The sequence below is a fragment of the Homo sapiens genome, chromosome X, assembly GCF_000001405.40.
Source record: "Homo sapiens chromosome X, GRCh38.p14 Primary Assembly".
Lineage (NCBI taxonomy): Eukaryota > Metazoa > Chordata > Mammalia > Primates > Hominidae > Homo > Homo sapiens.
The window spans coordinates 23,287,868-23,303,002 of NC_000023.11; the positions used below are offsets into that span (position 1 = coordinate 23,287,868).

At 40.0% G+C, this 15,135-nt stretch overlaps 1 long non-coding RNA gene across 1 annotated transcript in view; it reads right to left on the reverse strand.

Annotated features, from left to right (window-relative positions):
- PTCHD1-AS (PTCHD1 and PHEX antisense RNA) overlaps positions 1-5,279 on the reverse strand; it is a 1,100,142-nt gene extending 1,094,863 nt beyond the window's left edge. The window contains exon 1 of the long non-coding RNA NR_073010.2: positions 5,147-5,279. This is a non-coding gene — a long non-coding RNA (PTCHD1 and PHEX antisense RNA). The remainder of the gene's footprint in view (positions 1-5,146) is intronic.
- Between the last annotated feature and the right edge of the window lie 9,856 nt (positions 5,280-15,135).

Below are 15,135 nucleotides of genomic sequence, written 5' to 3' on the forward strand. Positions count from 1 at the left end.
GATATTATAGATCAGTGGTTCTCAGCTTTGGCTAGGAATCGGAATCACCTCTAAGACTTGAAAAAATACACATAAAATCTACTAAAGTTGAACACTTACATATCTTATGACCCAGCAATTCCACTCTTAGACTTATGCCCAACAGAAATACACACATATGTGCACCAAATGATACATCAGAACGTTCAAGGAAGCACACAGTAGCCCCAAACTGGAAGCCACCCAAATGCCCATCAACAATGGAATGGAAAAATACATTTGCACACAATGGAATAACATATAGCATAGGATTGAATAGCATACAACTACACACAACAATATAGAATACTCTCACATATATTGTACTGAGAATAAAAGCCATACACAAAGGAGTATATGCTACATGATTCTATCCAAATGAAGAATACAGATATGCAAAACTAACCTACAGGGTTAGATGTCAGGATACTAATTAGTGTTAGGGGGATTAGTGATTGGAAGGGGCTTCTGGGCTGTTGGTTATATTCTGTTTTTCTTGATCTGGGCATTAGTTCTGTGGGTGTGTTCACGTGTAAAAATTCAATCTGTACACTTATCATACATATACACCTTTCTACATGGTTGTTATCCTCTAATTAAAAGCTTAAAATATGTACACATAAACCTATTGCCTCCAGTCCAGTAACCTCCGCACCGCCCCCTCAACACACACGTATATACACACCCACTCACTTCTCCTGGGGAGCCCAATTCAGCAGCCTTGAGGCCCCTATACCCTCTTTTAAGCTGCTCAAATTATTTGATGCTATCAGTGTCATCTCAGTATCCCTAGTTTTCCCTAGCCTTCCAGCATTTGCAATAAACTTCGGTGGTAAAACAATCTAATTCCATTACCATCTGAATGATACTAAAACGTGGGAACTGAAAAAAATCAAATCAGTGTATTGAACAAAAACATAAACAGAATAATGTAAACTGCTCATTTTCAACTTATAAAAAAGAAGCTGAGGAAGAACTTGAACATTTTTGCTACACAGGCTTAATGAGTATGACATCACCTGTCCTTTTTAATAATAATAACTACGAAGTAATAATAGCTAACACATATGCAAGGCACTGCTCTAAGTGATTTACATAAATTAACTCACTTAATCCTCATAACAATTACTTGAAATAGGTATTATTATTATCCCCATTTGGCAAATGAGGAAACTGAGGTATAGAGCGGAGCTAGAAAACCATGATTTCAGATTCTAACAGTATGGCTTCAGAGTTTGTACTCTTAACCACTTCACTATATTCCTGTATATTTTATGCTGCTTAACATACTTTTCCCATTTTAAATGGACTATATTTAATATATTTCAAGTGGTAAGCTAAGTCCACTTGAATATTGGCATCTCAGCTGAAAATTACATGTGAGATGACTGAAATCAATAATACAAGTTTTATGTCAGTTCTTCAAGTGTTGGAAGAAATAGGTCAAACATTTAAAAAAAAAAAAGCCACGACCTAAAGAACATTTCTGTAAGTGTCATCCATTCATTGGCAAACATTGAGTGAGCAGGTGCTATGCTTGTGCAGTGGGTCCAATAGTGACCTCAGTCAAGGGCAAGGTTCAGGCCCCCAAAGACCTCCTCATTCAGCAGACAGACACGGGCCAAACAGCAGAAGAGTGAGTGGAAGTTACACATGTGACCACAGGTCATGAAAGCGTATAAGAAAGGGAAGCTTCCTACTCAAAAAGGTCAGGAAAGGCCTCCCGGAAGAAGTGATGATGGTGTGAAATATGAAGAATGAGTAGGAGGTAAAGGCAAAGGTGAGTGGGGGTGTAGAAAGAGCTGCATATGCATGCGCAAATAACTGTAATGTAAGTCAGAATGAATAAGGACTATAATAAACACACATACAAAAAAGCACAATGGAACTTCAGGACCTTTTTTCCTATTTCATTATTCAAATCACCTGAAATCGTTATACTTTCAGCATGAACCCAGAAACTCTTATATCAGATTCATAGTTGGTCTCACAAGCCTGGAACACAGTAAGATAAAAACCTTGTGGAAAAGGAATTTGAAACAGTACTTTTAACTCAGCATATATTGAAGGATTCAAGACATCAAAGTGAAAAAAGGAAATAATAGTGTTTACCTTTTCTGGAAAAAACGAGCAACAAAGAGGAAAAAAGGAAAAACCCTCAGATGGTGAAATCACCAGTCACAGAAGATATTCTTACAACACTATATAGGTCAGAACTTCCCCACTCCCCACCACCTACCATTGCTGAGGTTAGGCCTACTAGAAAAATAAGAGCACCCTAATAGACCAAAAGACATCATGCAATAGATGAGGAATGTGGTTAAGTACAACTTCTGAGGCTGCCTGATAGGCTCAAAATAAATCCAGGTGCAAAGAATGAATGGTCTTTGCAAATCTAAGCCTGCTCCTCACCACCTCCTGGTATAACTATGATCCAAACTGTTCTCTACTCTCCAATATAAACCAATGGGATCTTTTGAAAATGTACATCTTTCATGGGCTACACCCTCCACCTCCACCCAATAACCCTTCAATGGAACCCATTGCTTGTAAGGTAAAAACATAGCTCCTTAAAGTAGCCTGAGGGTGTTGCCTGGTCTGCTTTCCGCCAACCTCTCCAATCCTATCTTGTACCTTGCTCACTTTTCCTCTATATGTTTCCCCAAAAACAGCCTTCTGGCCGGGCGCAGTGGCTCACGCCTGTAATCCCAGCACTTTGGGGGGCCAAGGCAGGCGGATCACCTAAGGTCAGGAGTTTGAGACCAGCCTGGCCAACATGGCGAAACCTTGTCTGTACTAAAAATACAAAAATTAGCCGGGCGTGGTGGCAGGCACCTGTAATCCCAGCTACTCAGGAGGCTGAGGCATGAGAATCGCTTGAACCCACGAGGCGGAGGTTGCAGTGAGCCGAGATTGCGCCACTGCACTCCAGCATGGGTGACAGAGCGAGACTCCGTCTCAAAAACAAACAAACAAACAAACAAAAACAGCATTCTTTCAGTCCCTCATGTTCACCGTGCTCCATGTTACCTCAGGGTTTTGCACATGCTGCTTCTTCTACCTAGAACTCTCTGCTCAACCTGCCCTCTACCTAGTTGATTCCTACTCAGCCTTTAGCTCTTGGCCCCAATTTCAGACAGGTTATCCCTGGTTCCCTGACTGTGTCAACTCTCCCCATTACAAGCTCAGGTACCTTCCCACCACGGCACCTGCTATAGGTGAAATTTTACATATATTGTCTTGATTATTTGATCAATGTCTCTTAGCTTCTTAAACGCAAGGGTTGGAATTTTGTCTGGTTTTACCGACTTTGTATCCACAGTCCCAGGCACACTTGTTGACTCAAAGTAGGGGCTTCATAAATGTCCATTGTACAAATCAAAGCATTTCATAGAGCTCCTCAATTCCTAGGACTGTCTGGTTAGCATATTACCATATGCTTCCTGGTCACTCTCATAAGCACCATGTATAAAGAAGCATTTTTTAAAAAAAGTACATGTATTATATCCTTGAAAGAGGCATGAAAGAGGGCAAAAAAAGTTGAGGATGATTTGCTACTCTAGACAAGCAGCACATTTCTAATTATCTTGGTTACCTAGGAGTAAAGTATAGTCTCAAGTCTTACAGTAGAAATGAGAAGGAAAGAAATATTTAGCTGCTTAAACCTAATGTTAAGCAAACCATATTCCATCTATAACTAGATGCAGTAGGTTTTTCATTTATTCCCAACATGTTTGATGAATGGTTCACCCTGATAGGAGAAAACGCTAAGTTCCTACTATAAAGGACAATGAAAGGCCAACGAGGTAACATTGGGATTCCAGAAGGCCCTTTACTGCGAATAATTTACATTTTGAGGCTACTGTTTGTTTTTCTCTTTTATAAAATTAAACATAATTATCTGTACTCCATACCTGTCCCATTGGGAGTTTGGAGGAATTAATGAGATGATGTTTGCGGAGTGCTCAGGGCCCCTGGAAACACTATTATTAGAACAGTTAAGTAAAATGTTGCTTATGGTAACCTATGGGGTGACTTCCAGACAAGCAAGGCTGACATCAGAATAAAAAATAGCAAAGTGAAACAAGAAGGACAAAATTACTATTTGGTGATTTTACAGTAATGAAAATCATCCACTTTCTGAATTTCTAACTGCACTCTCCAATCCAGTAGCCACTAGCCCCATATGGCTATTTAATTTAAACCGATGAACTAAATTTTAAATTAAATTAAATTTCTTAAAATTAAAATATAAATAGCCTCATGAGGCCAGTGCTTTCTCCATTGGATAGTTCAGATATAGACTATTTCCATCATCACAGAAAATTCTACTGGACGGCAGTATGAATCTGAGGGGGTCTTTTGACTCTTTGTATCTGAATCCTGTTATTTGACACTTTCAAAGCCTCACCCAGAGTAGGGATTTGGAACTTTATCAGCTAGAAGAGAGATTACTCATCGAGCTGAAGAGAAATTATTCTTCAAAGACAAATGGTTTCCTTTCAAACGCGTTTTGCCTTTTCTATGCTGCCTCCGCCTGGTTAGCACTAAGAATATGTGCAGTGTGGAATGGGTTAAATGTTTCTCTTTTTTCCCTATCTCATATTTCTCAGTGCCCCATCTATATATAAGTGCTGAAGTCTGGGCAGAGAGTAAACCATCTGAGTGACCATGAACACAGATTCATAACTAAAAACCTGCTATATCTGGTTGCCCACAAAATAAGAGACAGGTCATTAATACATTCTCGTTGGGAACAAATCCCCTCTTGTGTGAAATGCTGCTGCATCTCATTTTTCTCTTTATACTATTTTAATCTTGTGGGATTAGGGGGTGGGGTGGGGAACAGAAACGAGCCCAGCGCATTCTAACTTTGTGTGGGTGTCTCCCTGGCTTGGTTACCAAAGAAACCATTATGTTCCATACTATTCAAATAATGGCTCTACTAGCGCCCTAAATACTTTCTTCTTTTCTAACCTGACTGCACTGCAGATTTAGAGCCACCATCTGTTGGCCAGCAAAAGAGAAGGGTTTCTGGAAATGTCACGGCCCTTCCCACACTGTTTGAAGCCTCAGTCTCAAGACTGCAACCTAAGAAGTCTGCTTCTGAAGCCAATTATTTCCTTACCAGGCCCAAGACGCTGTCTCCATGCACCACTGCACTGCCAAACTGCATAAGTGAAAGGTATTTGCAGGCATCCTGTGAGGCTGCCAAGCCTCCTGCCACCCATGCTGCCAGCCTCTTCTCTCGCTGCAGTTGTGAGGGCCTTGCTGCTTCACCCCTGAAGCATGCTGGGGGATCTGGCTGGGATGAGTGCTTCCCTGCCACCCTGGGCCCTGGAGTGAGTCACATCACCATCCCATGGATGCCTATTGCTGATTTACAGAGCAACAAATCCAGCAGCTGGGACCACCTGTTTTCATGGCTGCCAGGATGGGTTGTGCCCTTCAGAGGCTCCCGCGGCAAAGCAGAAGCCGCCAGCCCAGGATGTGATTGCCCCGGGAGAGAGGTGCTGGAAAAGGACCTGGTTTTCACGCTCCACTGCCATTTGCCCTTCCCTACCCAGTCTTTAGATATACAGAGGTACAATGTACTTGGCAAATTCCCTATGAATTCCAGGCAGCCAGGAACTAAGGAATGAGGTGTTCTTGTAAACCTCCAGGTCTCTGCCACAGACGATTCTGAGTTACTCTCCCAAGCAGTGTGGTCACTCTTTCTGAGGTTTTACACAGGAAGTTGAAGGGCTTCCAAATGTCTCCTGTCTGGGCATCTAAGTATAAATCTGGTGAAATTTTGCAGTCTGTTCAACCAAAAGAGTGTTAGTGATTGCAACTTAAGAACCACGGGCTGGGCGTGGTGGCTCACGCCTGTAATCCCAGCACTTTGGGAGGCCAAGGTGGACGGATCATTTGAGGTCAGGAGTTCGAGACCAGCCTGGCCAACATGGTGAAACCCTGTCTCTGCTAAAAATACAAAAAATTAGCTGGGCTTGGTGGCACGTGCCTGTAATCCCAGCTACTCGGGAGGCTGAGGCAGGAGAATCACTTGAACCCTGGAGGCGGAGATTGCAGTGAGCCGAGATTCTGCCACTGCATTTTAGCCTGGGCTACAGAGCAAAACTCTGTCTCAAAAGAAAAAAAAAAGAACAAGGAATTATTCTTAAGATCAGTAGTTGCTTCCATTAAGACCAACATGCATACCACATCTTTTCTAACGCAGTACTTTAAGCCAGGAGTCTCCAAACTTTCGGGGTCAAGCATCCTATTCACATACAACATCTTTGCACGCCTCCAAATACACATATCTCTATTTACAATGTGCATATATATATATAGATATACCTTCTAATATACTACTGTATTATCACATTACAAAACATGCTCCCAAAATTGAAATCTTAAAAGCGTTCAAATGAAAATGCAATATTTTTAAAATTAGGTTTAATTTTGTTTCATTTATTAAAGGCACAAAAGTCACTTTTACTCTCACTGGAAAAATCTGACATTTTTAAGGAGAGAAATATTATCAAACTAGCGCTTTTATTTTTTGATTTAGTTTAATTTAGAGGTATTGTGCTAAATTCAGTTTCTTTTGATACTTGGTTTTTAAAGCTGTGACAGCCCCCACAAAAAGAAAGAGAGAGAGCGAGAGAGATCCCACAAAGACGCATAGATCCAAATGGAACAAGTGAGGTTATTTTACAACCTCATAATACCTGTCATAAAAAACTAATATCTGTATAACTATCTGTGATAACAACATGTGTAAAAAACATATATCTGTATGCTATATGAGATACACACAAATATAAGACATATCTGTATCTACGTATATGTATATCTATGTTTCTGTATAAGTGAATATGTCCCCATTGGGACATACACTAAAAAATTGTTTACGTAAAAATTCAAATTTAACTAGGCCTCCTATACTTTATCTGGCAACCCTAAACTCGTGAAGTTTATTTTTTTCTTATTTTTTTAACCATAAGTAAATATAAATAGGAGTTCTAATATTTTCTTTCTGCATACTTAGCAATGGAGATCATTTCTAAGAAGCTGCCACCAGAGTCCCTGGCCAAACCAGTGTCCTCCTCGAAGAGCTAATACAGCCAAATGCTAATAAGAAACCCCTCTTCACTTAAGTTCCTTAAACCGTCCCCTCCTCAAACCCTCCTTACCCTGTAGTAGCATCGTGCATCAATGCTATGACTGACTGATATAGAACCTTCTTCATTTTTCTGGCCAATACATTTATTCAAGGAAAGGGAAAATTACAGGTAAAGCAGAAAGAGGCTTGAGCCACATGTGTAGGTACATGTGTCAACTCGTCCATCTAGATTCCGCCTCTGGTTTACAGAGGTGGCAGCAGGAGTACTTTACCCTTTTCACCTCTACCACTGGCACCCAAGATCTGCTCAACATTGAAAGAGATCACATGCTAGGAATACAGTGATTATGGCCTAAAGAGTTCTAGAGATGACATGGTTGGAAAACGTGTCTTTGTGCATGTACACTATAAAATTCTGAATGGTAAATTTAACATGACCAGAAAAATGATTTATCACTCATATTTTCCTGCATACTCTGGATAAGACTGTCCAGCATCAACAAAACATGGTAAAAAAAAAAAAACCTCTGAGAGAGTCATTGGAAGACAATACCTGTGGCAGCACGATAGATGATGCCGTATCATGAGTAATGAAGTAGCCAGCATTAAATAAAGGGTTCTAGGGAACCGTAGGGCAAGAAGATCTACGTGATTTCAATACGAACAGTTCCAATAACCCATAGCATTGTGAGTACTATCACCTCTTGCTACCTCTTTCTCATGAAGGGTAGGGGGCAAGGTAATATTATCCAGTGCATTTAACAGTAAAAACAAAACAAAACAAAATAAAACACTAATAGATGGTACCTAGACCTGAACAAGAAGACATGATGGCTGGACGTGACAAAGAATCCTCATGTGCATCGATGTGGCAATAAACACATATGCAAATACTGCATCTCTACCTATTATTCTAAATCTTCATCAATAAAATGTTAAACCTCTCATTGGTACATGAATTTTTGTGATACATTTTTAATTGAACTGCTTACATAAATAGAGGCCCCACACCAAATATTTGCCAGCGGCCTTGCACACCATAGGGGCAGCCCTAGTGCTAAGCTGTGCAACAGTTCTCCTGTGCTGCTCCAATATGCAATTTCACAATAACACATGGTCTCAGGACATTCTCCTGGGCAAGGTCATTTTCATGGTAAGGCCTAACAATTATCGAGTGCCAACTCTGTGTTTGGCACTCTACTCGGGGCTTTACATACATTATCTTGTCTTGTACTTGTATTAAACCAAGAGAAATAATAAATTGCTTTATTTTAAGCCACTAAGTCTCAGAATAGTTTGTTAAGCAGCAATATATTATTGAAAAACAATAAGCTGAGATTTTTTTCGTTGCTCGATTCATTTCCTCTAAACTACTGTGGAGCAGGCAGATCTCAGACTTTTCTATCTCCCTTTCACAACTGCAGAAATTGAGTAGCAGCAAGGAAGGGGAGGAAGATGGACAAGAGCAGGCCAATAGCTTTCCCCTGAGGAGGTGTGAAGGCTGCAGAACCAGAATAAAAGGCCTGTCCTCCCAGATTAGATCCAGGGCCTGACCTCCCAAGCATCTTGCCTCACTAACAACTGGGGGCATTTCTGAAGTAAATGGACAGCCCAGGGATGTGTGACCCTGAAAGCACAACATGTCCAGACCAGGAAAAAAAAAAATGCCTTCCTTTTCCTGGAAGTGGAGATGTCACACCCTATCTGGGGTCATCTGCTCAAGATCTCAGCATCGCTTGCTGCCAGCTCCCTTCAGATAGAGAATGCTGGACACAGCTTTTCTCCCCTTCATCATTTGACCTCTACCAAGACAATCTAGGAAACTCATCATTAGTGCCAGAAGCAGGAAAATGGGAGCCATCTCCTGACAAGTTCACACCAGACAAAATGTTCCAGCTTGACAAGAGACGGGGGAGAATCAGGAACTTTGTCCTCTCTCCTCCTTGTTAATTAGTCCTTGGTTTTGAATTTCAGGGAGAGGTACAAGAGACAGGTAATAAAGAACATACATAAAGCATATGGTATGTTAGATCATGATAAGGAACACGGGAAAATATGAAGCAGGAAGAGGGTAAAAGGAGCGCACTTTGGGTAGTGTTTAAATAAGGTGATCAAAGAAGGCCTAGCACACAGCATTTACCAAACTTATCTAATCAAAGAAACTGTCACAGAGCGTGTCACAGAAGTTAGGAAATGCTGTTTCAAAAAGTAGTTTCAGCTAGGGAGGAGAAGCAGATTAATTAGCAATTGTATTAATATTTGGCTACTAGTAAGAAAAATGTAAGTGGTTTACACAAGATAGAAGTTTCTTTTTCATTTGCATAAAAAAAGTGTGGACCAGGCAATCCAGGGATGCAGGACACCTCCATGTTGTCATCAGGGACTTGAGTTCCTTTTACCTTTCTCCCCACCCTGCTGAGTTCTTGGCTTCCATCCTCAAGCTTGCCGCAGCCCAGGATTTATCTTTATCTCCAGCCATCACATGTATGTTCCAAGCAGAACTGTGCCTCTTACAGAGTCTGCTCATAAGTCCCACCCAACATGTTTTGCCTATATCTCATTGGCCACTCTCCAGCTGGAAGGGAGGCTAGGAAGGCACTTTAGCCAGAATATGACCTCTCATAATAAGATTAAGTTAATTAGTCTTAGTCTTGCTAAGTAATTGCTGATGGCAATTAGCAATTTGCCTCGGGAAAGAAGGAGGGTGTAGTGGAAGGGACATCCCTGCGTACCAGAGTGCAGCTTTCTATTTTGACACAGCAGATTGCAAAGCTGCTCACACATCAGTCCTGCAGCTGCACCGTCCATGTTTCTTATGAGAACCTAGGGTTAAAACGTCGTAGAACACAGACCCCAGCAGCAAAATCACTATACTCCCGTCTTCTGGGGCAATGTGCCACCCAGCTCCTGTTTTGTCCATTCACCACATGGCAGCCAGAATGCCATTTTAATAATGTAAAGCCAGTTATGTCACTTTCCTACCTAAAACTCTCATCACACTTGGAATGAAATCCAAACACCACGAGATGGACGCAGCCCATCTTTGACTGCTTCTTCACCACTCCTCCCCTTTGCTCAGGACTCCAGCCACGCTGGCCTTTTTGTTACATGAACACAGCAAGGTCATTCCCACCTTAGAGCTTTTATCTGGAATGTTCTTTCCCACATGGCTGGATCCTTCTTATCATCCAGCTCGCCACTAAAATATCTCACTTCCTCAGCAAGACTTTCTTGACTTACTCCAGCTAATGAAGTTCCGCCCCTACCAGATAGCCCCTAGCACCTCATTTTATTTTCTTCATGAATTTATAACTAGTTCAATTTAACATGCTCACGCATTTTTTCCCTTGTTCATTATCACCATTATTAAGTTCCATGAAGGCAGAAACACTGCTGCTTTTGTTCTCCCCATACCTCCAGCCCACAGTGAATAAAACGTGGAAGGCTTTCAATGCTGTGGAATGAATGATATGGTTTGAAGTGTCCCCATTCTCTTAGTCACTCCTCCCCAAACACCCTTCAGTTTGGTAGACGACATCATAAACAGACTCCAAGAAACACTACCCAATTCCTAGAAGTGCATCATTAACAAAGAGCAGTATTGTGCTCTTGGACATTATGTAATGTCCCCTGTCCTGGCTCAGTGGCTGATTTCGATGTGTTTTTGCATGTGGATTCATGGATCCATTTTGAGAATTTTCAGGAATGGGAGCCCTCAGGTCAGAAATCACTGCCCCATAGAATTCCATGTGATGATGTGGGACCATGAATCAAGGCCCCTACAGCTCAGCAACCCTCAGTCTCCCCAAAACCAATTTGAAATGCCCAAGTATGTACTGGGGACACCTCAAAGCCAAAATGTTTACTACATAACCATTCTTCTAATTTTAATGGTGAGTTTCTGTTTTAAGAAACAATCTAGAAGAGTTCAGACTTTTTATTGCATATTATTCCAATTTAAGGGAGGTAATACAGAGACTACTATGCATTCACAAAGCACCATTTTTTTTTCCTCCTGAGCATACAGCTGGATTACAGTTAGGAGTGGTTATGTCATTGAGTCTAGCCAATGAAATCTGGGCGAAAGCGATCTATACCACATGATGGACAGGGACTGGATCCCTGAAGGACTGAGTGGAATAGAATCACCCACATTCCCTATCTGAGTTAAAATCTGACATGAACAATAAATAAACTCTCATTGTATTAAGCCACTGAGATTTTTGGAATTGTTTGTTATGACACCGATCCTACCTTGACTCATACAGAGGAATAAAATAAAGACCCTGTCATAATAATAATGTTAAATTTTCAAAGAAAAGACAATTCAGCTTCCTGCAATCTCAGCCATTTTGTGCTGTTACAAATTATGTGGTTTTAACATCAGTGGAAGACTAGCAAAAAGCTTGCGGCTTCTTAGATGACATAAACATACTGTATTTGCTTTTCAAGTGCTGGAAATGTTTCTAACTAAAACATGAAAGCAATATTTTAACAGGCTGACTTGGGGAAAATGCTCAACATGAAAAGACCAAAATGTTTTTCAAAAAGGGAAACAACTCAATATGCTCCCAAAACCCTGCCCAGGCTTTAATCAAGGGACATCCAAAGGGAAGCAAAATGGCTGGACTTAGTCTGAAAGTTATGAGAAATTTTCTGGTAAGGGTAGGATACTATTTAGTTATCATTTAATTTAATATTTACTTCTAAAGGTATTTTTTAAATTAAGGAAGCTATCCAAAATCTTTATCCTGGGAACATGCTTTTATCCTTAAAAAAATAAATAAATAAATAAAAATAGCCTCCTTGGGATTCACAGGATCAAACGCAATCACTCTTTTACGTGGCCACACTTTACCTATTTCTTGCTAACATGGCATATTCAGCCCATTATATCTTCGTAAAGAATTGGAAGACATTTCTGTAGAATTTCAGTTTTTCTTAAATTGACTTCGTTTCCATATATTTAGTAGTAATAATAATAATAAATAATAGTCATAATAGTATCTTTAGTGCACACCAGAATTGGAAAAAAAGGTTTCATATCCATTATCAAGAGTTCTAGTGCTTGATAATACTCTAAACCATTTATTTCTGTATTCCATGTGTGACATTTGTAAAATTGTAAGTTCACAACTTCCTAATGTTTCCTGGACTACCACAGCCCTATACACTAATCATATACAGTAGTTAGTATGTATTAGAATGTCTTTTATTCATAAAATATGGATGTATTTTCCCAGAACAAAAGTATTAATTATTGTTAACAACAATTTAACTTGCAATATCTTTTAAAAATACATTCACCACATTTCTGCAGCTTCAAAAATCCTTTGCTGTACTTCTCACTTTTTTTTTTTTTCTCTTGTCCAGCAGTATCAAGTTTCCAGGTTTCAGGGCTCTGGTTTGAAATCCACAGCCTGCAAATGTTTTAAATAAAGCAGAACCATATAAAAAGATTAAATGGATACAGACAAGAAAGTTACCTTCGGGTGGTGTCATTGCTTTTCTGATTAGTGTTCATTTGGCTTTTCCAAATTTTTGCATTGAGTTTATAATTTGTTTTATGTGTAAAGTAAAAAATAAATAATTAAACAGAAAGCACTTCTTTTAGTCACCTAGCTTTGGGTACACAGTTACATCTTAATTCATTTTGCTTCATTTGGTTTTAGTAATCCCTTATCCTCTACTCCTGCTGAAAACAAGTGATACAGTAAACTGCACTGTGTCAAGCAGAATTCTTCTTCCTCTTTCAAAGAAGACTGTCTAGAAATGAACAATTTTTTCAAGGCACCTGTTTCCTTTCAACGGGAATGACAGATAAAGTTTGATTGAGAGAAATGCCAATCATGTCATGAGGCAGATGGATTAACTTTCTAACGTTTCTTTCCCGACAGTAAATCTCAACTTTTACTCCTATGCTTAGCAAAATATTTTTAGAAATATTGTTTATTCAATACAGATGATGCATTTTACTACTTCTTAGAGCAAACCATTGATCCCTATCACCATGGCATTAGGTAGGCCCCACAAATCATCCAGGCATCTGCCCTCAGTCTCAAATAAATCACGACAGAGCAGTAAAGAAAAGGGAAATGTCAATCGGAACTAGGCAGTCAATAGGAAAAGATTTTTCAGTGTCTCTATTTATGACATTTCCTTTCACTTAAAGACATTGGTTATTCTAATTTTTGGTTTTTTTTGCAATTTCCTCTTGAGAACTTCTCCCATAAACTATATTTTAGCACAGTACGAATTTTCCCAGCTGGTATTTTTGAGTTCTTAAAAAATCCTATAGAGATTCATACTAAATATCATCTACAGTAAATTTTAAAATGATAGGTTATGGGTTGGGCAAGATGGCTCACGCCTGTAATCCCAGCAATTTGGGAGGCTGAGGCGGGTGGATCACAAGGTCAGGAGTTGGAGGCCAGCCTGGCCAACATGGTGAAACCCCATCTCTACTAAAAATACAAAAAATTAGCAGGGCTTGGTGGCGGGCGCCTGTAATCCCAGCTACTTGGGAGGCTGAGGCAGGAGAATTGTTTGAACCCAGGAGGTAGAGGTTGCAGTAAGCTGAGATCGCGCCATTGCACTCTAGCCTGGGTGACAGAGCAAGACTCCATCTCAAAAAAAAATAATAAAATGATAGGTTAAGCAATTATAAAATGTATAAACTTTACATAAAAGTGCAAACACACATATCGGTATTTATTGATTTAATTTTGAAGTTCCTATCTTTAAAAAGTATCAGTTCCCCAACTTAAAAATTCTCATCTACTTTGTTTACATTCATTTTATTATCAGGGAGGCCTGAATGAAATTCTTTCTGGGATATTTCATTATCTTGTTTATATTTTATATGTTACGTGCTGTTGTGTTATATTACTATATAATTTTATATATTTAACTTAATATTTAATTAATATTAATTTAATGGTAAGATAGTCTTTCCTATTTCAAAATTCCAATCTCATATTTGATTCAAAGTCTTCATCCAAGCCAGGTGTAATAGTGGTACCAGAGGCCTGGAGCAGAGGTGAGACCAAAGTGAGGGGAGCTTCTATCTCACACACTTACCTTCTTTTCTTCTCAGACTCCTCTGAATTGAAGGTGGTGGGGAGGGATAAGAGAAATAATTTTTTTTCATGTCTTCCCTCTGCTTTATTGGTTATAATTCCAATCATCTTATGCAATAGTGGCAATGGTAGTAAGGTCACCATCCCTTTTCTATTGGCGTCACTGTTGTCCTGTCTAACTCTGACTGCCCTGGGTTCCCTCTGAGAGGCAAGAATTAAAATGCTGGCTCTCTGAGGGGAAAGAGCATATTAATTCTTCAAAGGTTCGCATGGGAGGCCTCCCCTGAATAGCACCCTGGAATGGAAGATCCAGCTGAAGTTGGCTTCGTTCTTGCCCCTCCTCAGCACCCTCCCCATGGTGACTTGCTGATGGGACTCCCTCAACAAACTAGCAGCCCTCTTAGGGGTATAATCAAGAGAATTTCATCTCTAGCCACCTTCTGTAGTAACCACTTAGGCACAAGAGACTGCCATACTCTGGCCATGCCAAAGAGTGGTAATGCTCACACATCTAACGCTCTACCTCTTAGTTCTTAACGCCTCACCCTAGACTGTCAGACAGGAGATAATCTTACTCCCTGATTTAGGGCAGAGGGGTTGCGACACTTCTCCAGCCTCAATCTTGTACAAAGAAGGAGGTAGACGAGTTAGATAAATCTCTTTGTCAACCGAAACTTTGACATCTTGGAACATTGAACTTGATTTCTGGCTGCCTAATCTGTGGGGTATCTCTAAGGGAATGAGAGCAATCCCTTATTTGAAAAAAAAAAAAAAAACCAACACAACTACTGTATTCTGTACAGATAATTCCGGCCATCCCATCCAGAAAAATATTGCTGACCTTTTGGACATCAGCACCGCAAAAAACAGAACCCAGAGCATTTTTTGCTCACAACGTTTTATCTAAGACAAACACAGAAACAGCTA